The 14523-nt window shown below is 48.3% G+C and overlaps 1 annotated feature.

The window, feature by feature from the left end:
- Nucleotides 5123-5323: a silencer, noted in NCBI's record as "peak3011 fragment used in MPRA reporter construct". NCBI's record gives its function as "represses an SCP1 promoter by STARR-seq MPRAs in K562 erythroleukemia cells {active_cell/tissue: K562}" and the evidence as "EXISTENCE:reporter gene assay evidence [ECO:0000049][PMID:32103011]".

Raw genomic sequence — 14523 nt, forward strand, 5'->3', positions numbered from 1 at the left:
GCCTTAAGAGCTGTAACTCTCACCGCAAAGGCCTGCAGCTTCACTACTGAGCTAGTGAGACCACGAACCCACCAGAATGAAAAAACTCTGAACACGTCTGAATATCAGAAGGAACAAACTCTGGACACGCTGCCTTTAAGAACTGTAACGCTCATCGCGGGGGTCTGTGGCTTCATTCTCGTAGTCAGTGAGATGAAGAACCCACTAATTCCGGACACAATATGATACGGAGGTGGTTAAATTACGTGGCCCAATCAAGGGTGGGTCAGCCGAACTGCAGTGAGGACTTGGGTCAGCTTGGTGAAGTTCACGTTTGGGCTTTATCCTCTCCCTGGAATTTTGTGTCTCCCAGGCAATTTCTGTTGCCTGTGCTTTTGAGTGAAAGGTAAGTCTCCTCCCACAGCCTTGCTCTGTAGAATAAGATGGCATTTGTAGAATCTGACTTTTCAGAGTCCTTTCAAGTATATCCTTACTTTGAGCCTCCCAGTTAGGAGATGGATTCGTATCCTCATGTGATGGCTCAGGAACGGAGCTCAGAGAGGTGGGGAACCTGCCTGAGAGAACAGGTGCGTGGCACAGTCAGCTCCAGAATGGGCTTCCTTGCCCTGCACTTGTGTTCAGTTGCCTCTCCACAGAGCCTTTTCCCAGGTGTTTACTAAATACAGTCGGACGAACTAGAATTTCAGAAGTTGAATTAAGCATACGACACTGTAAACTAAAAACCCTAAGCCCCTCACCAAACGAGAACACCCCCAGTTGACCAAGAGGACCCTAGATAAACATTTAAAATTGAGTTCCTGGCCACGCGTGATGGCTCACAACTGTAATCCCAGCACTTTGGGAGGTCGAGGCGGGCAGATCACTTGAGGTCATCAGTTTGAGACCAGCCTGGTCAACATGGTGAAACCCCATCTTTACTAAAAATACAACAATTAGCTGGGCATGGTGGCAGGTACCTATAATCCCAGCCACTCAGAAGGCTGAGGCAGGAGAATCGCTTGAACCTGGGAGGTGGAGGCTGTAGTGAGCCGAGATGCCACCACTGCATTCCAGCCTGGGCGACAGACCGAGAGTGTCTCAAATAAATAAAATGGAGTTCCTGGCTATGACGGGAAGGGAGGTTGGACACACTTTGTTATATCTCCTCTCTTTTGGAGCCACAACTTACCAACATTAACAATAAAATAGAGATCGGGAGGCTGACAAAACAGCCTCTTTGTGGCAATAAGACACCAAATTATAAACAAGATATAAAGCCATGGCAGGCAAGGGGATGCCTGAAGGCCATCCAGCACATTGTAATCTCATCATATTGTGCAGGTCATATTGTGGTTGACTGCTTAAAGTGGACATTCCTTTCTGCTAACTCCCAAGTTTTATTTATTTATTTATTATTTATTTTTATTGAGATGGAGTCTTGCCCTGTCACCCAGGCTGGAGTGCAGTAGTGTGATTTTAGTTCACTGCAACCTCCATCTCCCAGGTTCAAGTGATCCTTTCACCTTAGCCTCCTAAGTAGCTGGGACTACAGGTGTTTGCCACCACGCCCCAGTTAATTTTTGTATTTTGAGTAGAGACAAGCTTCCACCGTTTTGACCAGGCTGGTCTCGAACTCCTGACCTCAAGTGATCCGCTCTCCTCGGCCTCCCTTAAAGTGCTGGGATTACAGGTGTGAGCCACCGTGCCTGGCCTTTGCTAACTCCAAGTTTTTAGACAAAGTTATGTTCCTTTAACCAATTGCAGATTAAAGAATCTCTGAGTAGGCCAGGTGTGGTGGCTCATGCCTGTAATCCCAGCACTTTGGGAGGCAGAGGTAGGCAGATCACTTGAGGTCAGGAGTTTGAGACCAGCCTGGTCAACAGGGTGAAACCCCATCTCTACTAAAAATACAAAAATTAGCCAGGCGTGGTGGTGTGTGCCTATGGTCCCAGTTACTAGGGAGTCTGAGGCAGAAGAATCACTTGAACCCAGGAGATGGAGGTTGCAGTGAGTTGAGATCGTGTCACTGCACTCCAGCCTGGGCGACAGAGTGAGACTCTGTCTTAAAAAAAAAAAAAAAGAATCTTTGAAGCTGGACAAGGTGGCTCACACCTATAATCCCAGTACTTTAGGAGGCCAAGGTAGGAAAATCGCTTGAGCTGAAGAGTCGGAGACCAGCCAGGACAACATGGCAAGACCCCATTTCTGCAAAAAATTTAAAAATTAGCTGGGTGTGGTGACGTGCTCCTATAGTCTCAGCTACTTGGGAGGCTGAGACAGGAGGATTGCTTGAGCGTGGGAAATCAAGGCTGTAGTGAGCTATGATTGTGACACTGCACTCCAGGCTGGGTGACAGACTCTGCCTCAAAAAAAAAAAAAAAAACCAAAAAAAAAAACTCTGAATCTGCTTATGATTTGTAAGCCCCTACTTCAAGGTATCCCACCTTTTTGGACTAAACCAATGTGTATCTTCCATGTATAAAATCAAACTGTAGGCCGGGGACAGTGGCTCACGCCTGTAATCCCAGAATTTTGGGAGGCCGAGGCAGGTGGATCACTTGAGGTCAGTAGTTCTAGACCAACCTGGCTAACATGGTGAAACCCCATCTCTTCCAAAAATATAAAATATCAGCTGGGTGTGGTGGCACGTGCCTATAATCCCAGCTACTCGGGAGGCTGAGGCAGGAGAATCACTTGAACCCAGGAGGTAAAAGTTTCAGTGAGCCGGGATCGTGTCACTGCACTCTAGCCTGGGTGACAGAACGAGACTCTGTCTCAGAAAACAAACAAACAAAAAAACCAACTGTATGTAGCCCAACCACTTCTGGTGCGCTTTCTTAAGCCTTTTTGAGACTGTTACCCCAGGCCACAGGCACTCCTATTGGCTCAGAATAAACCTCTTTAAAACATTTTACAGAGTTTGGTTTTTCGTTAACTATCTTTTTTTTCTCCCCTCTTTGGGTACAGGGTCCTGCTCTGTTGCCCAGGCTGGAGTACAGTGGCATGATCTCACTGCAGCCTTGATTTCCGGGCGCTCAAGTGATCCTTCTACCTCAGCCTCCTGAGTAGCTGGGATCACAGGTGTGGACCACCATGCCTGGTTAATTTTGTTTGTTTTTTGTACGGACAAGGTCTCTCACGATGTTGCCCAGGCTGGTCTTGAACTCATAGGTTCAAGCCATTCTCCTGCCTCGGCCTCCCAAAGTGCTGGGATTACAGGTGTGAGCCACCACACCCCGCTGTCCTGTGCAGATTTTTTTTTTTTACCACTTGTCTCTCTGTGTTGGAAACTGCAAGGTATTCACAGTAAAGCCAATTTTTTTTTTTTTTTTTTTTGAGACAGATTCTCGCTCTGTTGCCCAGGCTGGAGTGCAGTGGCGCGATCTCAGCTCACTGCAACCTCTGCCTCCCGGGTTCAAGGGATTCTCCTGCCTCAGCCTCCCGAGTAGCTGGGATTACAGGCATCCGCCACCACACCTGGCTAATTTTTATATTTTTAATAGATACAGGGTTTCACCATGTTGACCAGGCTGATCTCAAACTCCTGACCTTGTGATCCGCCCGCCTCGGCCTCCCAAAGTGTTGGGATTACAGGCAGGAGCCAAGGCGCCTGGCCGGTAAAGCCAATTTAAACTCAGTGGAGCCTGCAAGCATTAATTAACACTTCTGTTTGAAAATGGTAAAGTGACAGAGCCTGCCAAAGAAAGGCCTCAGAGCTCTCTTTACCAGAGTTGCCGGGAGTGAAGAGATGAAAAATGACCTTGGGGGAGCTTCAGAATTAATTTCATTTCATGCAAAGAAAAACAAGGTTAAAAACATTTCAAGGCAATAAAGTATCTTCAAGTGCCAGCACTGGGCAAATAAACCAGCAGTCCCAGGTGGTGGGGGAGAAGTGATCAATGGAGCAGGGTGTGTGCCAAGCAGGGGACTTCAGTGTCAGTGCCGCTCTATGCTGTCTAAGAAGGGGGAGGTGGGAGTTACACAGTCAGTGTGTCTTCAGGGTCAGAGAGATGCACTCTCGGAGTCCCTGTCACTGGTTTTTAGGCTGCTGGTTGATCTGAAGGCACATGTTTTCAATTCTGCAGCAGCTGCGGGCCTTCCTAGTTCCTGGAGCCTTGCTCTTTTTCTTTCTTTCTTTGTTTCTTTTTTTCTTTTTTATTTTTTTTGACATGGAGTCTAGCTTTGTCGCCAGGCTGGAGTGCAGTGGTGCGATCTCAGCTCATTGCAACCTCCACCTCCCAGGTTCAAGCCATTCTCCTGCCTCAGCCTCCCACATAGCTGGGACTATAGACGCACACTACCACGCCTGGCTAATTTTTGTCTTTTTAGTAGAGATGGGGTTTCATCATATTGGTTAGGCTGCTCTCAAACTCCTGACCTCAGGTGATCCACCTGCTTTGGCCTCCCAAAGTGCTAGGATTCTTTTTTTTTTTTTTTTTTTTTTTTTTGAGACAGAGTATCACTCTTGTCCAGGCTGGAGTGCAATGATGCCATCTCGGTTCACCACAACCTTCGCCTCCCAGGTTCAAGCGATTCTCCTGCCTCAGCCTCCTGAGTAGCTGGGGGTACAGGCATTTGCCACCATGACCAGCTAATTTTGTATTTTTAGTACAGATGGAGTTTTTCCATGTTGGTCAGGCTGGTCTTGAACTCCCGACCTCAGGTGATCCCTCCACTGCAGACTCCCAAAGTGCTGGGATTACAGGAGTGAGCCACCACGTCCAGCCGGGATTCTTTTTAGGAGATGGGGTCTTGCACTGCTGCCCAGGCTGAAGTGCAGTGGTGCAATTATAACTCACTGCAGCCACCAACTCCTAGGCTCAAACGATCTTCCTGCCTCAGCCTCTCAAGTAGCTGGGACTAGTAGTATGTGCCACCATGTCTGGCTAATTTTTTTTTCTTTTTTGTAGAGGTGGGATCTTGCTTTGTTGCCCAGGCTGGTCTTGAACTCCTCAAGCCATCCTCATGCCTCGGTCTCCCACAATGCTGGGATTGCAGGTGTGAGCTACAGCGCTCCCTGGACAATCCTCTCTCTATTCTCAGAAGGGTTTCTCAGCCCAGCCCCTTTGACATTCAGAGTTCATCATTTTTTGTGGTTGTGTATGGCGTCGTGGGGGGCTGTCCTGTGTATTGCAGGATGTTGAGCAGTGCTCCCAGCCTCTGTCCAGTAGATATCAGGAGCTCTCCCTCCTGAAGTTATGACAACCGGAACCACCCCAGGTGTTGTGAAGTATCTCCTGGGAGCAAAACTGTCTCCCTGGCTCCCTGAGAAGCACTGTTGTGGGGAGTGGCAAGAGTTAGCTGAGTCTGAAGACTTCTGAGGCACTCAGAATTGAAAAGGGACTGCTGCGGTTTGGAATGGGTCAAGTTTATCTCTTTGAGTAAAACTGTCTCCATGGGCTGGGTGTCTGACGCCTGTAATTCCAGCACTTTGGGAGGCCAGGGCAGGTGGATCGCTTGAGCTCAGGAATTCAAGACCAGCCTGGACAACATGGTGAAACCCCATCTCTACGAAAAAAAAATTAGCGTGCGTGGTGGTGGGCGCCTGTAATCCCAGCTACTCGGGGGGCTGAGGTACAAGAATTGCTTGAACCCAGGAGGGCGGAGGTTGCAGTGAGCCGAGAGTGTGCCCCTGCACTCCAGCCTGGGCAACAGAGTGACCCTATCTCCAAAAAATAAAAAAAAAGTTTTCACATAATTTAGCACTTAATTGTTTGGTGGGTGTGGTGGAAAGAATCATGAGTGCCCAAAGATGCCCATGTCCTAATACACAGAGCCTGTTACCTTATATGGCTGTGATGAAGTTAATGATTTTGAGAAGGGGATTGTCCTCGATTATCTGGGTGGGCCCAGTGTCATCATGGGGCTCTTGTAAGAGGGAAGCAGGAGGGTCAGAGTCACAGAAGGAGACGTGATGATGTCATGTCAGAAGCAGAAACAAGAAACCCGGCACGGTGGCTCACACCTGTAATCTCACACTTTGGGAGGCTGAGGTGGGCAGATCATTTGAGCCCAGGAGTTCCAGACCAGCCTGGGCAACATAGTGGGACCCCATCTCTATAAAACAATACAAAAATTAGCCAGGCACACACTGCCTGTTGTTCCAGCTACTTGGGAGGCTGAGGTGGAAGGTTTGCTTGAGCTCAGGAGGTCAAGACTGCAGTGAGCTGAGTTTATGCCACTGCACTCCAGCCTGGGCAACAGAGAGAGAACCTGTCTCAAAAAAAAATTTTTTTTTAAAGAGACATTATTTTTTAGAGCATGTGTAGGTTCACAGCAAAATTGAGCAGAAAGCATAGAGTGCCCACATATCCCCTATTCCTCCTCCCCCACCCATAACCCCCCGACTATCAACGTCCTCCATAGAGTGGGTTTGTTACAACTGATGAACCCACATTAACACATCACCATCTCCCCAAGTCCCTAGTTCACACGAGGGTTCACTCTTGATTCTATGGATTTTGACGAATCTATATGGCATGTGTCCACCATTATAGTGGCACATAGAATAGTTTCACCAAAATTTTACCTTTTTTTTTTTTTTTGAGAAAGGGTCTCACTCTGTTGTCCTAGGCTGGTGCACAGTGGTGTGACCCTTGGCTCACTGCAACTTCACTGCAGCCTGAGACCTCCCAGGCTCAAGTGATCCTCCCACCTCAGCCTGTGGCTACAGGCACACACCATCACACCCGGCTAATTTTTGAATTTTTTGTAGAAACAGGGTTTTGCCAGGCCTGGCGCAGTGGCTCATGCCTGTAATCCAAGCACTTTGGGAGGCCGAGGTGGGCAGATCAGGAGGTCAGGAGTTCGAGACCAGCCTGGCCAACATGGTGAAACTTCGTTTCTACTAAAAATACAAAGAATTGGCTGGGGGTGGTGGTGCACGCCTGTAATCCCAGCTACTTCAGAGGCTGAGACAGGAGCATCACTTAAACCCGGGAGGCGGAAGTTGCAGTGAGCTGAGATCACGCCATTGCACTCCAGCCTGAGCGACAGAGCAAGACTCCATCTCGGAAAAAAAAGAGTTTTGCCATGTTGCCCGGGTTGGTAACCCCTGAGCTCAAGCAATTTGCCCACATGGTCCTCCCGAAGTCCTGAAATGACAGGTGTGAGCCGCTGTGCTGGGCAAAATTTTATTTTTTATTTTTTTTATTTTTTGTGAGACAAAGTCTTGCTTTGTTGCCCAAGCTGGAGTGCAGTGGTGTGATCTTGGCTCACTGCAACCTCTGCCTCCCAGGCTCAAGCGATCTTCCCACATCAGCCTCCCAAGAAGCTGGGACTACAGGTGTGCACCATCATGCCAGTTAATTTTTGTATTTTTTGTGGAGACAAGGTTTCATCATGTTGCCCAGGCTGGTCTTGAACTCCCGGCCTTAAGGAATCCACCTGCCTCAGTCTCCTGAAGTGCTGGGATTACAAGCGTGAGCCACTACACCCCAGCAAAATTTTACTTTTAATGAAGACTGCGGACCACAAGAAATGCTAGCATTGTCAGTATTGGCTCACTCAGTAGGTACCCAGTGTCATTCCCAGACAGCTTCACCTAGCACCTATAACTTTGGCCAGTTGTCTACTAAATTATTTGTTATAAGGAGGAGCAGGCAAGAAAGATCAGTGTAAAAATCACCCCAACTGTATGAAAAATGTTTAAAGCATGCCTCCTTATTGGGATAAATTCTGCAAATCCCCAGCTCCTACTGTAGGGTAGAGGAAAGGAATACACCAGAGAGCAAAAGCCACAGAGCTGTGCCCTCCCAGAACCTCCAATCCAACACAGCATCACACAGAGCTTCAGCAACACTGGCTGTGCACAGTCTGCACACCCGGAACAAGCCAGGATTTGCCCGGATAAAACAACACAACTTTCTTATGAGACATTCGAGCTGGGCTTTCAGCTCCTAGCAAAGTCCTATGTCAAACAAGGCCAGGCCAAGCTCCAGGATGCCCGACCCCTGGGCAGGTTTTCTCTCCCAAGGTTTCCTCTTTCCTCCAGTTTGTTGCTTGCCCTGTCAGGGTCTGAGGAAGGATGACAACAGAGAAACCTAGATTCTGGTCCCATGTGGGCATCTGCAGGCAAGTCATAGACACTCTGGACCAAATATCCTCATCTGAAAATAAAGGTTTGGCCATGATGGCTTCCAGGGTGTCTGTTAGTCAAGAAATATTCTGGGCCTGGTGTGGTGGCTCACATCTGTAATCCCAGAACTTTGGGAGGCAAAAGCGGGAGGATTGCTTGAGGCCAGGAGTTCAAGACCAGCCTGAGCAACATAGCAAGACCCCCATCTCTACAAAAAATAAAATAAAAATTAGCTGGGCATGGTGGCATGCACCTGTAGTCCCAGCTACCCAGGAGGTTGAGATGGGAGGATTGCTTGAGCCTAGGAGTTCAAGGTTACAGTGAGTTATGATTGTGCCACTGCACTCCAGCCTGGGCAGCAGAACAAGATCCATCCCAGCACTTTGGAAGGCCGAGGTGGGTGGATCGTGAGGTCAGGAGTTCGAGACCAGCCTGGCCAACATGGTGAAACCCTGTCTCTACTAAAAAAAATACAAAAATTAGTTGGGCATGGTGGTGCGCGCCTGTAATCCCAGCTACTCGGGAGGCTGAGGCAGGAGAATGGCTTGAACCTGGGAGGCGGAGGTTGCAGTGAGCCGAGATTGTGCCAGTGCACTCCAGCCTGGGCGACAGAGCAAAACTCCATCTCAAAAAAAAAGAAGGGAGGAAGGGAAGGGAGGGAGGGAAGGAGAGAAGGAAGGAAAAGAAAGAAAAGGAAGACAGGAAGGAAGGAAGGGAGGGAGAGAGGGAGAGAAGGAAGAAGGAAGGAAGACAGAAAAAGAAAGGAAGGAAGGAAAATGCTCTCATTCGGCTGGGTGCAGTGGCTCACGCCTGTACTCCCAGCACTTTGGGAGGCCAAGGTGGGCGGATCACCTGAGGTTGGGAGTTCGAGACCAGCCTGACCAACATGGAGAAACCCAGTCTGTACAAAAAATACAAAATCAGCTGGGCATGGTGGCACATGCCTGTAATCCCAGCTACTAGGGAGGCTGAGGCAGGAGAATCACTTGAACCTGGGAGGCAGAGGTTGCAGTGAGCTGAGATCGCGCCATTGCACTCCAGCCCGGGCAACAGAGCAAAACGCTGTCTGAAAAAAAAAAAAGAAAAGAAAATGCTCTGATTCTCACCCAGGTGGAGTCCCTGCAGGACCCATGCTCACCACTGTTTCTATGTCCCTAGTCAACCAAACACCACCAACCCTTAGCTAGTAGCTTCAGATGAATTCCAAATGCCTAGGCAAAAGTTTTAGCCATGGCCCTCTGGCCTTCTAATCCTTCATGGCTTACCAAATTAACAAATTCCAGGCGGAAATGGTCTCTTGAAGTGTGTAGGAATCACTGTGCTGTTTTTGAAGTCTTGCATGAAAGAAACCTCAGGGCTCGGAGACCAGGCTCACATCCTTTCGTGCCCTGCAGAGGGCGACCCGCTCTTGCAATCGGATTTTCTGTATTGTGAGGGAGTTACTGTGAAGTGTGCCTCCTTTTTGTGTGGCTAACCCCCAGGGCTGGGACGGAAGAGGAATTGAACTGGCATAGTAAATTAAAATGCAATTTGAACTTCAATGCAGCCTTTCAAATGAGGCTCTGCTGCGCTCTCCTGACACCCCTCCTCAATTCTTCTCTGGGGTGGCATGGAGGTATCTGATGTTCCTATTTAAATCCCTGAGTTCATACACTGTCCTTATCTGTCATTTCCTCTTTGAAAGGCACTGAGAACTCAATTCAGGGAAAATTGAAAACCTTTCCAGATATTACTGTTTTGAAAGTGGTTTTGCCAAAAAATATAACAGCAAATAAACTCTAGTAAGAATGAGATTCATTTAGCTCTTGTTGCCTTTGACCTCAGAAGAAAACATCTAACAGGAAGCCTAGAAAGTCACAGTTAAATATATAAATTCATTTTGAACTAAGAGTCCTTTTTTTTTTCTTCAGCACTAGAATTCCTGCAGTAGAACAGGTATATATATATGTATATACATTTTTTTACATCAAAACCACTTAGACCAGGTGCGGTGGCTCATGCCTATAATCCCAGCAATTTGGGAGGCCAAGGCAGGTGGATCACCAGAGGTCAGGAGTTTGAGACCAGCCTGGCCAACATGGTGAAACCCCGTCTCTACTAAAAATACAAAAATTAGCCGGGTGTGGTGGCGCATGCCTGTAATCCCAGCTACTCGAGAGGCTGAGGCAGGAGAATCGCTTGAACCTGGGAGGTGGAGGTTGCAGTGAGCTGAAAATACGCCACTGCACTCCAGCCTGGATGACAGAGCAAGACTCCGTCTCAACAACAACAACACTTAATGCTGCCTCAGGTTGCTAAGAGGAGCCTGGAGAGTGGAAAGTTGTGTGCACAGGAGAGACTTTAGTCCACTGTCATTTGTGCCTTTACCATTGTCGTCTTTTCAGTGGCCCTTATTATTGGGGAGTTTTGCTGCTTGTAGTCATTCAATGACATTTTCCTCTAGCCCTCAGTGACTGCTGCAATCCCCTTTTCTTTTCTCTTTCTTTTTTTTTTTTTTTGAGATAGGGTCTTGCTTATTGTCCAGGCTGGAGTGCACTGGTGCAATCACAGCTCGCTGTAGCCTCGATCTCTGTATTAGTCCATTCTCACACTGCTATAAAGAAATACCTGCAACTGTGTAATTTATAAAGAAAACAGGTTTAATTGGCTCACGGTTCTGCAGGCTGTACAGAAGGCATGGCTGGGAAGGCCTCAGGAAACTTACAATCATGGTGGAAGTTGAAGTTCCATATCTGGAGCAGGAGGAAGAGAGGGGGGAGGGGCTACATACTTTTAAACAACCAGATCTCATGAAAACTCACTGGCACAACAACAGCCAGGAGGAAGTCCACCCCCATGACCCAGTCACCTCACACCAGGCCCCTCCCTCAACACTGGGGATTATAGTTCTACAGGAGATTTGGGTGGGGACAGAAATCCAAACCATATCAACCTCCCAGGCTCAAGCAATTATCCCACCTCAGTATCCCAAGTTGCTGAGACTGCAGGTGTGCCAGGTGTGCACCACCATGCACAGCTAATTATATATATATATATATATATATATATATATATATATATATATATTTTTTTTTTTTTTTTTTTTTTTTTTTTTTTAAGAAATGGGTTCTCACTATGTTGCCCAGGCTGATCTCGAACTCCTGAGCTCAAGTCATCCTTCTGCCTCGGCTTCTCAAATTGCAAGAATCACATGCAAGAGCCATTGAGTCCAGCCCCTTTGCTTTTCTACGTGAACTTAGTATGGGAGTTATCAGGTTGATTCTGGAGGTCATTTGTCCCTCACCTGCATTCAAGGAATAGATTCTCCCATCCTCAGTGTTTGCCATCAGAAAGACGTAGCTGCCATCCAACTTAAGCTGCCCTTGCTGGAATTTAGATGAATTTTCCTGTTATCTTTATAGGGTGAGTCGGTTACCCTTCTGTAGTGGGTGAAGTCGTGTCCCCCAGAAAAATATGTCCAAGTCCTAACCATCGGTACTTGTGAACTTAACCTTATTTGGAAATAGGGTCTTTGCAGATGTCATTAAGTTGAGGATCCCCAGAGGAGATCATTCTAGATTCAGAGTACCTACTACATCTAATGACTGGCATCCTTATAAGAGAAAGGAGAGGGAGATTTGAGACACAGAGACGCATAGGGAAAGGTGACATGAAGATGAAGGCAGAGGCCAGACATGGCAACTCACACCTATAACCCCAGCACTTTGGGAGGCCAAGGTGGGTGGATCCCTTGAAGCCAGGAGTTTGAAACCAGCCTGGCCAACATGGCAAAACCCCATCTCTACTAAAAATACAAAAATTAGCTGGGTGTGGTGGTGTGCACCTGTAATCCCAACTACTTGGGAGGCTGAGGCAGGAGAATCACTTGAACCTGGGAGGTGGAGGTTGTGGCGAGCCGAGATCATGCCACTTCACTCCAACCTGGGTGACAGAGTAAGACTCGGTCTCAAAAAAAAAAAAAAAAAAAAAAAGATGAAGGCAGAGATGGGAGCGACGCGTCGACAAGCCAAGGAACTCCAGCTATTGCTGGGAGAGGGCGTGGAATGGATTCTTCCTTGGAGGCTCCAGAAGGAACCAGTCCTGCCAACACTTCGATTTCAGATTTCTGGCTTCCAAACTGTGAGAAAATACCTGTCTGGTGTTTTAAGCCACCCAGCTTGTGATAGTTTGTTATGGTGACCCGAGGAAAGTAATACGCCTTCTCTCCAGGGCATTAACATTTGGGCAAGGGTGTGTAATGATTCTCTCATTTTTAACTTCCAGTTAAATAATCCTGTTTTTGAATAATTTATGTTCTAAGACTTCCATTTTTAGATGCTTTCCTTCTGTGCCCCCTTCCCTTGGGCCACTGCAGACTTCCCTTGGCACTTCTTCTTCTCCCAGAGGTCACCTCCCAGCAGGCTCTGCTCCGGGGATGCCTGGTGGGTGGAGGGCTGCCTCTTCCCCCACTTCACTGGGGTGGGCTGCTTACATCTTGAGGCTCAATCACATGCATCAGAAGCTGCAAAGTCCCAGAAGGCAGATATTGTTTTCTCCTACCTTGTCCTCAGTTTGCTGTTGATTTCCTAAAAATAGACTTTACCTTTTAATAACTTCCTAGCTTGCCATAATTGCCAGGTCCCATGCTGTTGGATAGATGGGACAGGCAAGAGCTCGGCAGCCACTGTGAGTCCCTCCTGTAGGGGAGGGCAAATGGCAAGGGTTGTCCCAGAGGGCCCCAGAGTGCTTGGCCCAGGTGAGCCCTGCTCTGAAAGGAGAGACTTGGATCCCCTTTGCCCTAACCTGGGGCCAAGCTCTGAAAGGACAGAGGTTCCCTTCTGCTCTGAGCTGCCTCCTCTGGGCTTGCAGGAGAGGGGATAGCAAAGGCTCTACCCAACCTCAGCAGCTGGGGGAGTCCAGAGGCCTCTGGAGTGCTCTGCAGGTGGGCAGCCTGGGGCTCTCCACAGTGTCTCAAGGGACAGCTTCCCCTGGGGCACCACAGTGGGAAAGATGCCAGGCAGAGAAGTTCCCTTTTTCCTCCGGGCTGTGTTGAAAGGTGGTTACTGGAACCACTTACTCTGTTAACAAAAATCAACTGTCTGTCCTTAGGTTATGAAGGGTGGGGGATGGAGGGCGCAGTGTGGGGAGGGAAAGTTGGAGTCGGGGGTGCATAAAGGGAATTGACTTTGCAGTCCCAACTCTTCTTTTCTAGAATCCAAGATTCAGTCTCCCCTTGGATGACAGCGTCTCTCTCTATGTCTAGTTTTGTAGGATGGGGATCCAATTTTATTAAGGTAGAGAGGGCAGGTCCTTGCCATGCAGGAGGCAATCAGGAGGAAATCACTCCAGAGCAGTTGGCATGCTCTCAGGTCCATCTGGCACCTGCCCCAGGGCTGCCTTGCTAGCAGAAACCATTCTGCCCTTAACCTCCGGTACCCTGCCAAGGAGGTCGCCATTCCTGGGGCATCTGCTGCTATTGGGAGCAGGCTTCCTGGCCAGGGGCCAGCTGTGAGGGCCCCTTTTCTAGGAGCAGAGTAGGAAGCCATGCGGTGTGGGCACAGGCTGCCAACATGATGATCCTCTCCCTATGCTGCCGAGAGGGGCCTTGGGGACAGAGAAGCTTGGGTTCACATTACATCCCCCCACTTCTTAGATGTCACCCTGAGCAAAGGTGTAACTTTTCCAGGCCTCGATTTCACTGCAGCACTCAAGAAATGGCTACTTCATGGGGTTAAGGTGAGCATCATTTAGGGGGTGCTCAAATGGTCCTTTGATTAGGTATAAATAAGGAGTGAGACCACTTTGCACAGAGGAGACCCTCAATAAATTCAGTGAATCAGAAACATCACAATTATCCCCTTCTCCTGAGAGAAGGAGCATGTGGACCAATGCCAGCCTAGATCAAAATGCTGGTCGTCCTTTTTTTTTTTTCTTTTTTTTTTCCTTGAGACAGACTCTTGCTTTGTTGCCCAGGCTGGAGTGCAGTGGCATGATCCCCACTCATTGCAACCTCCGCCTCTTGGGTTCAAGCAATTCTCTGGCCTCAGCCTCCAGAGGAGCTAGGACTACAGGTGCATGCCACCACACCCAGCTAATTTTTGTATTTTTAGTAGAGATGGGATTTCACCATATTGACCAGGCTGATCTTGAACTCCTGACGTCAAGTGATCCACCTGCCTGGGCCTCCCAAACCGCTTGGATTACAGGCGTGAGCCACCGTGCCTGGCCATCTTTTATTTATTTATTTATTTATTTTGAGATGGAGTCTCACTCTGTCACCCAGGCTAAAGTGCAGTGGCGTGATCTCAGCTCACTGCAACCTTCGCCTCCCAAGTTCAAGCAGTTCTCTGCCTCAGCCTCCCAAGTAGCTGGGATTACAGGCTCCCGCCACCATGCCCAGCTAATTTTTGTATTTTTAGTAGAGACGGGGTTTCACTATCTTAGCCAGGCTGGTCTTGAACTCCTGAGCTCTTGAACTCAGCTCAAGT

The sequence above is a fragment of the Homo sapiens genome, chromosome 17, assembly GCF_000001405.40.
Source record: "Homo sapiens chromosome 17, GRCh38.p14 Primary Assembly".
Lineage (NCBI taxonomy): Eukaryota > Metazoa > Chordata > Mammalia > Primates > Hominidae > Homo > Homo sapiens.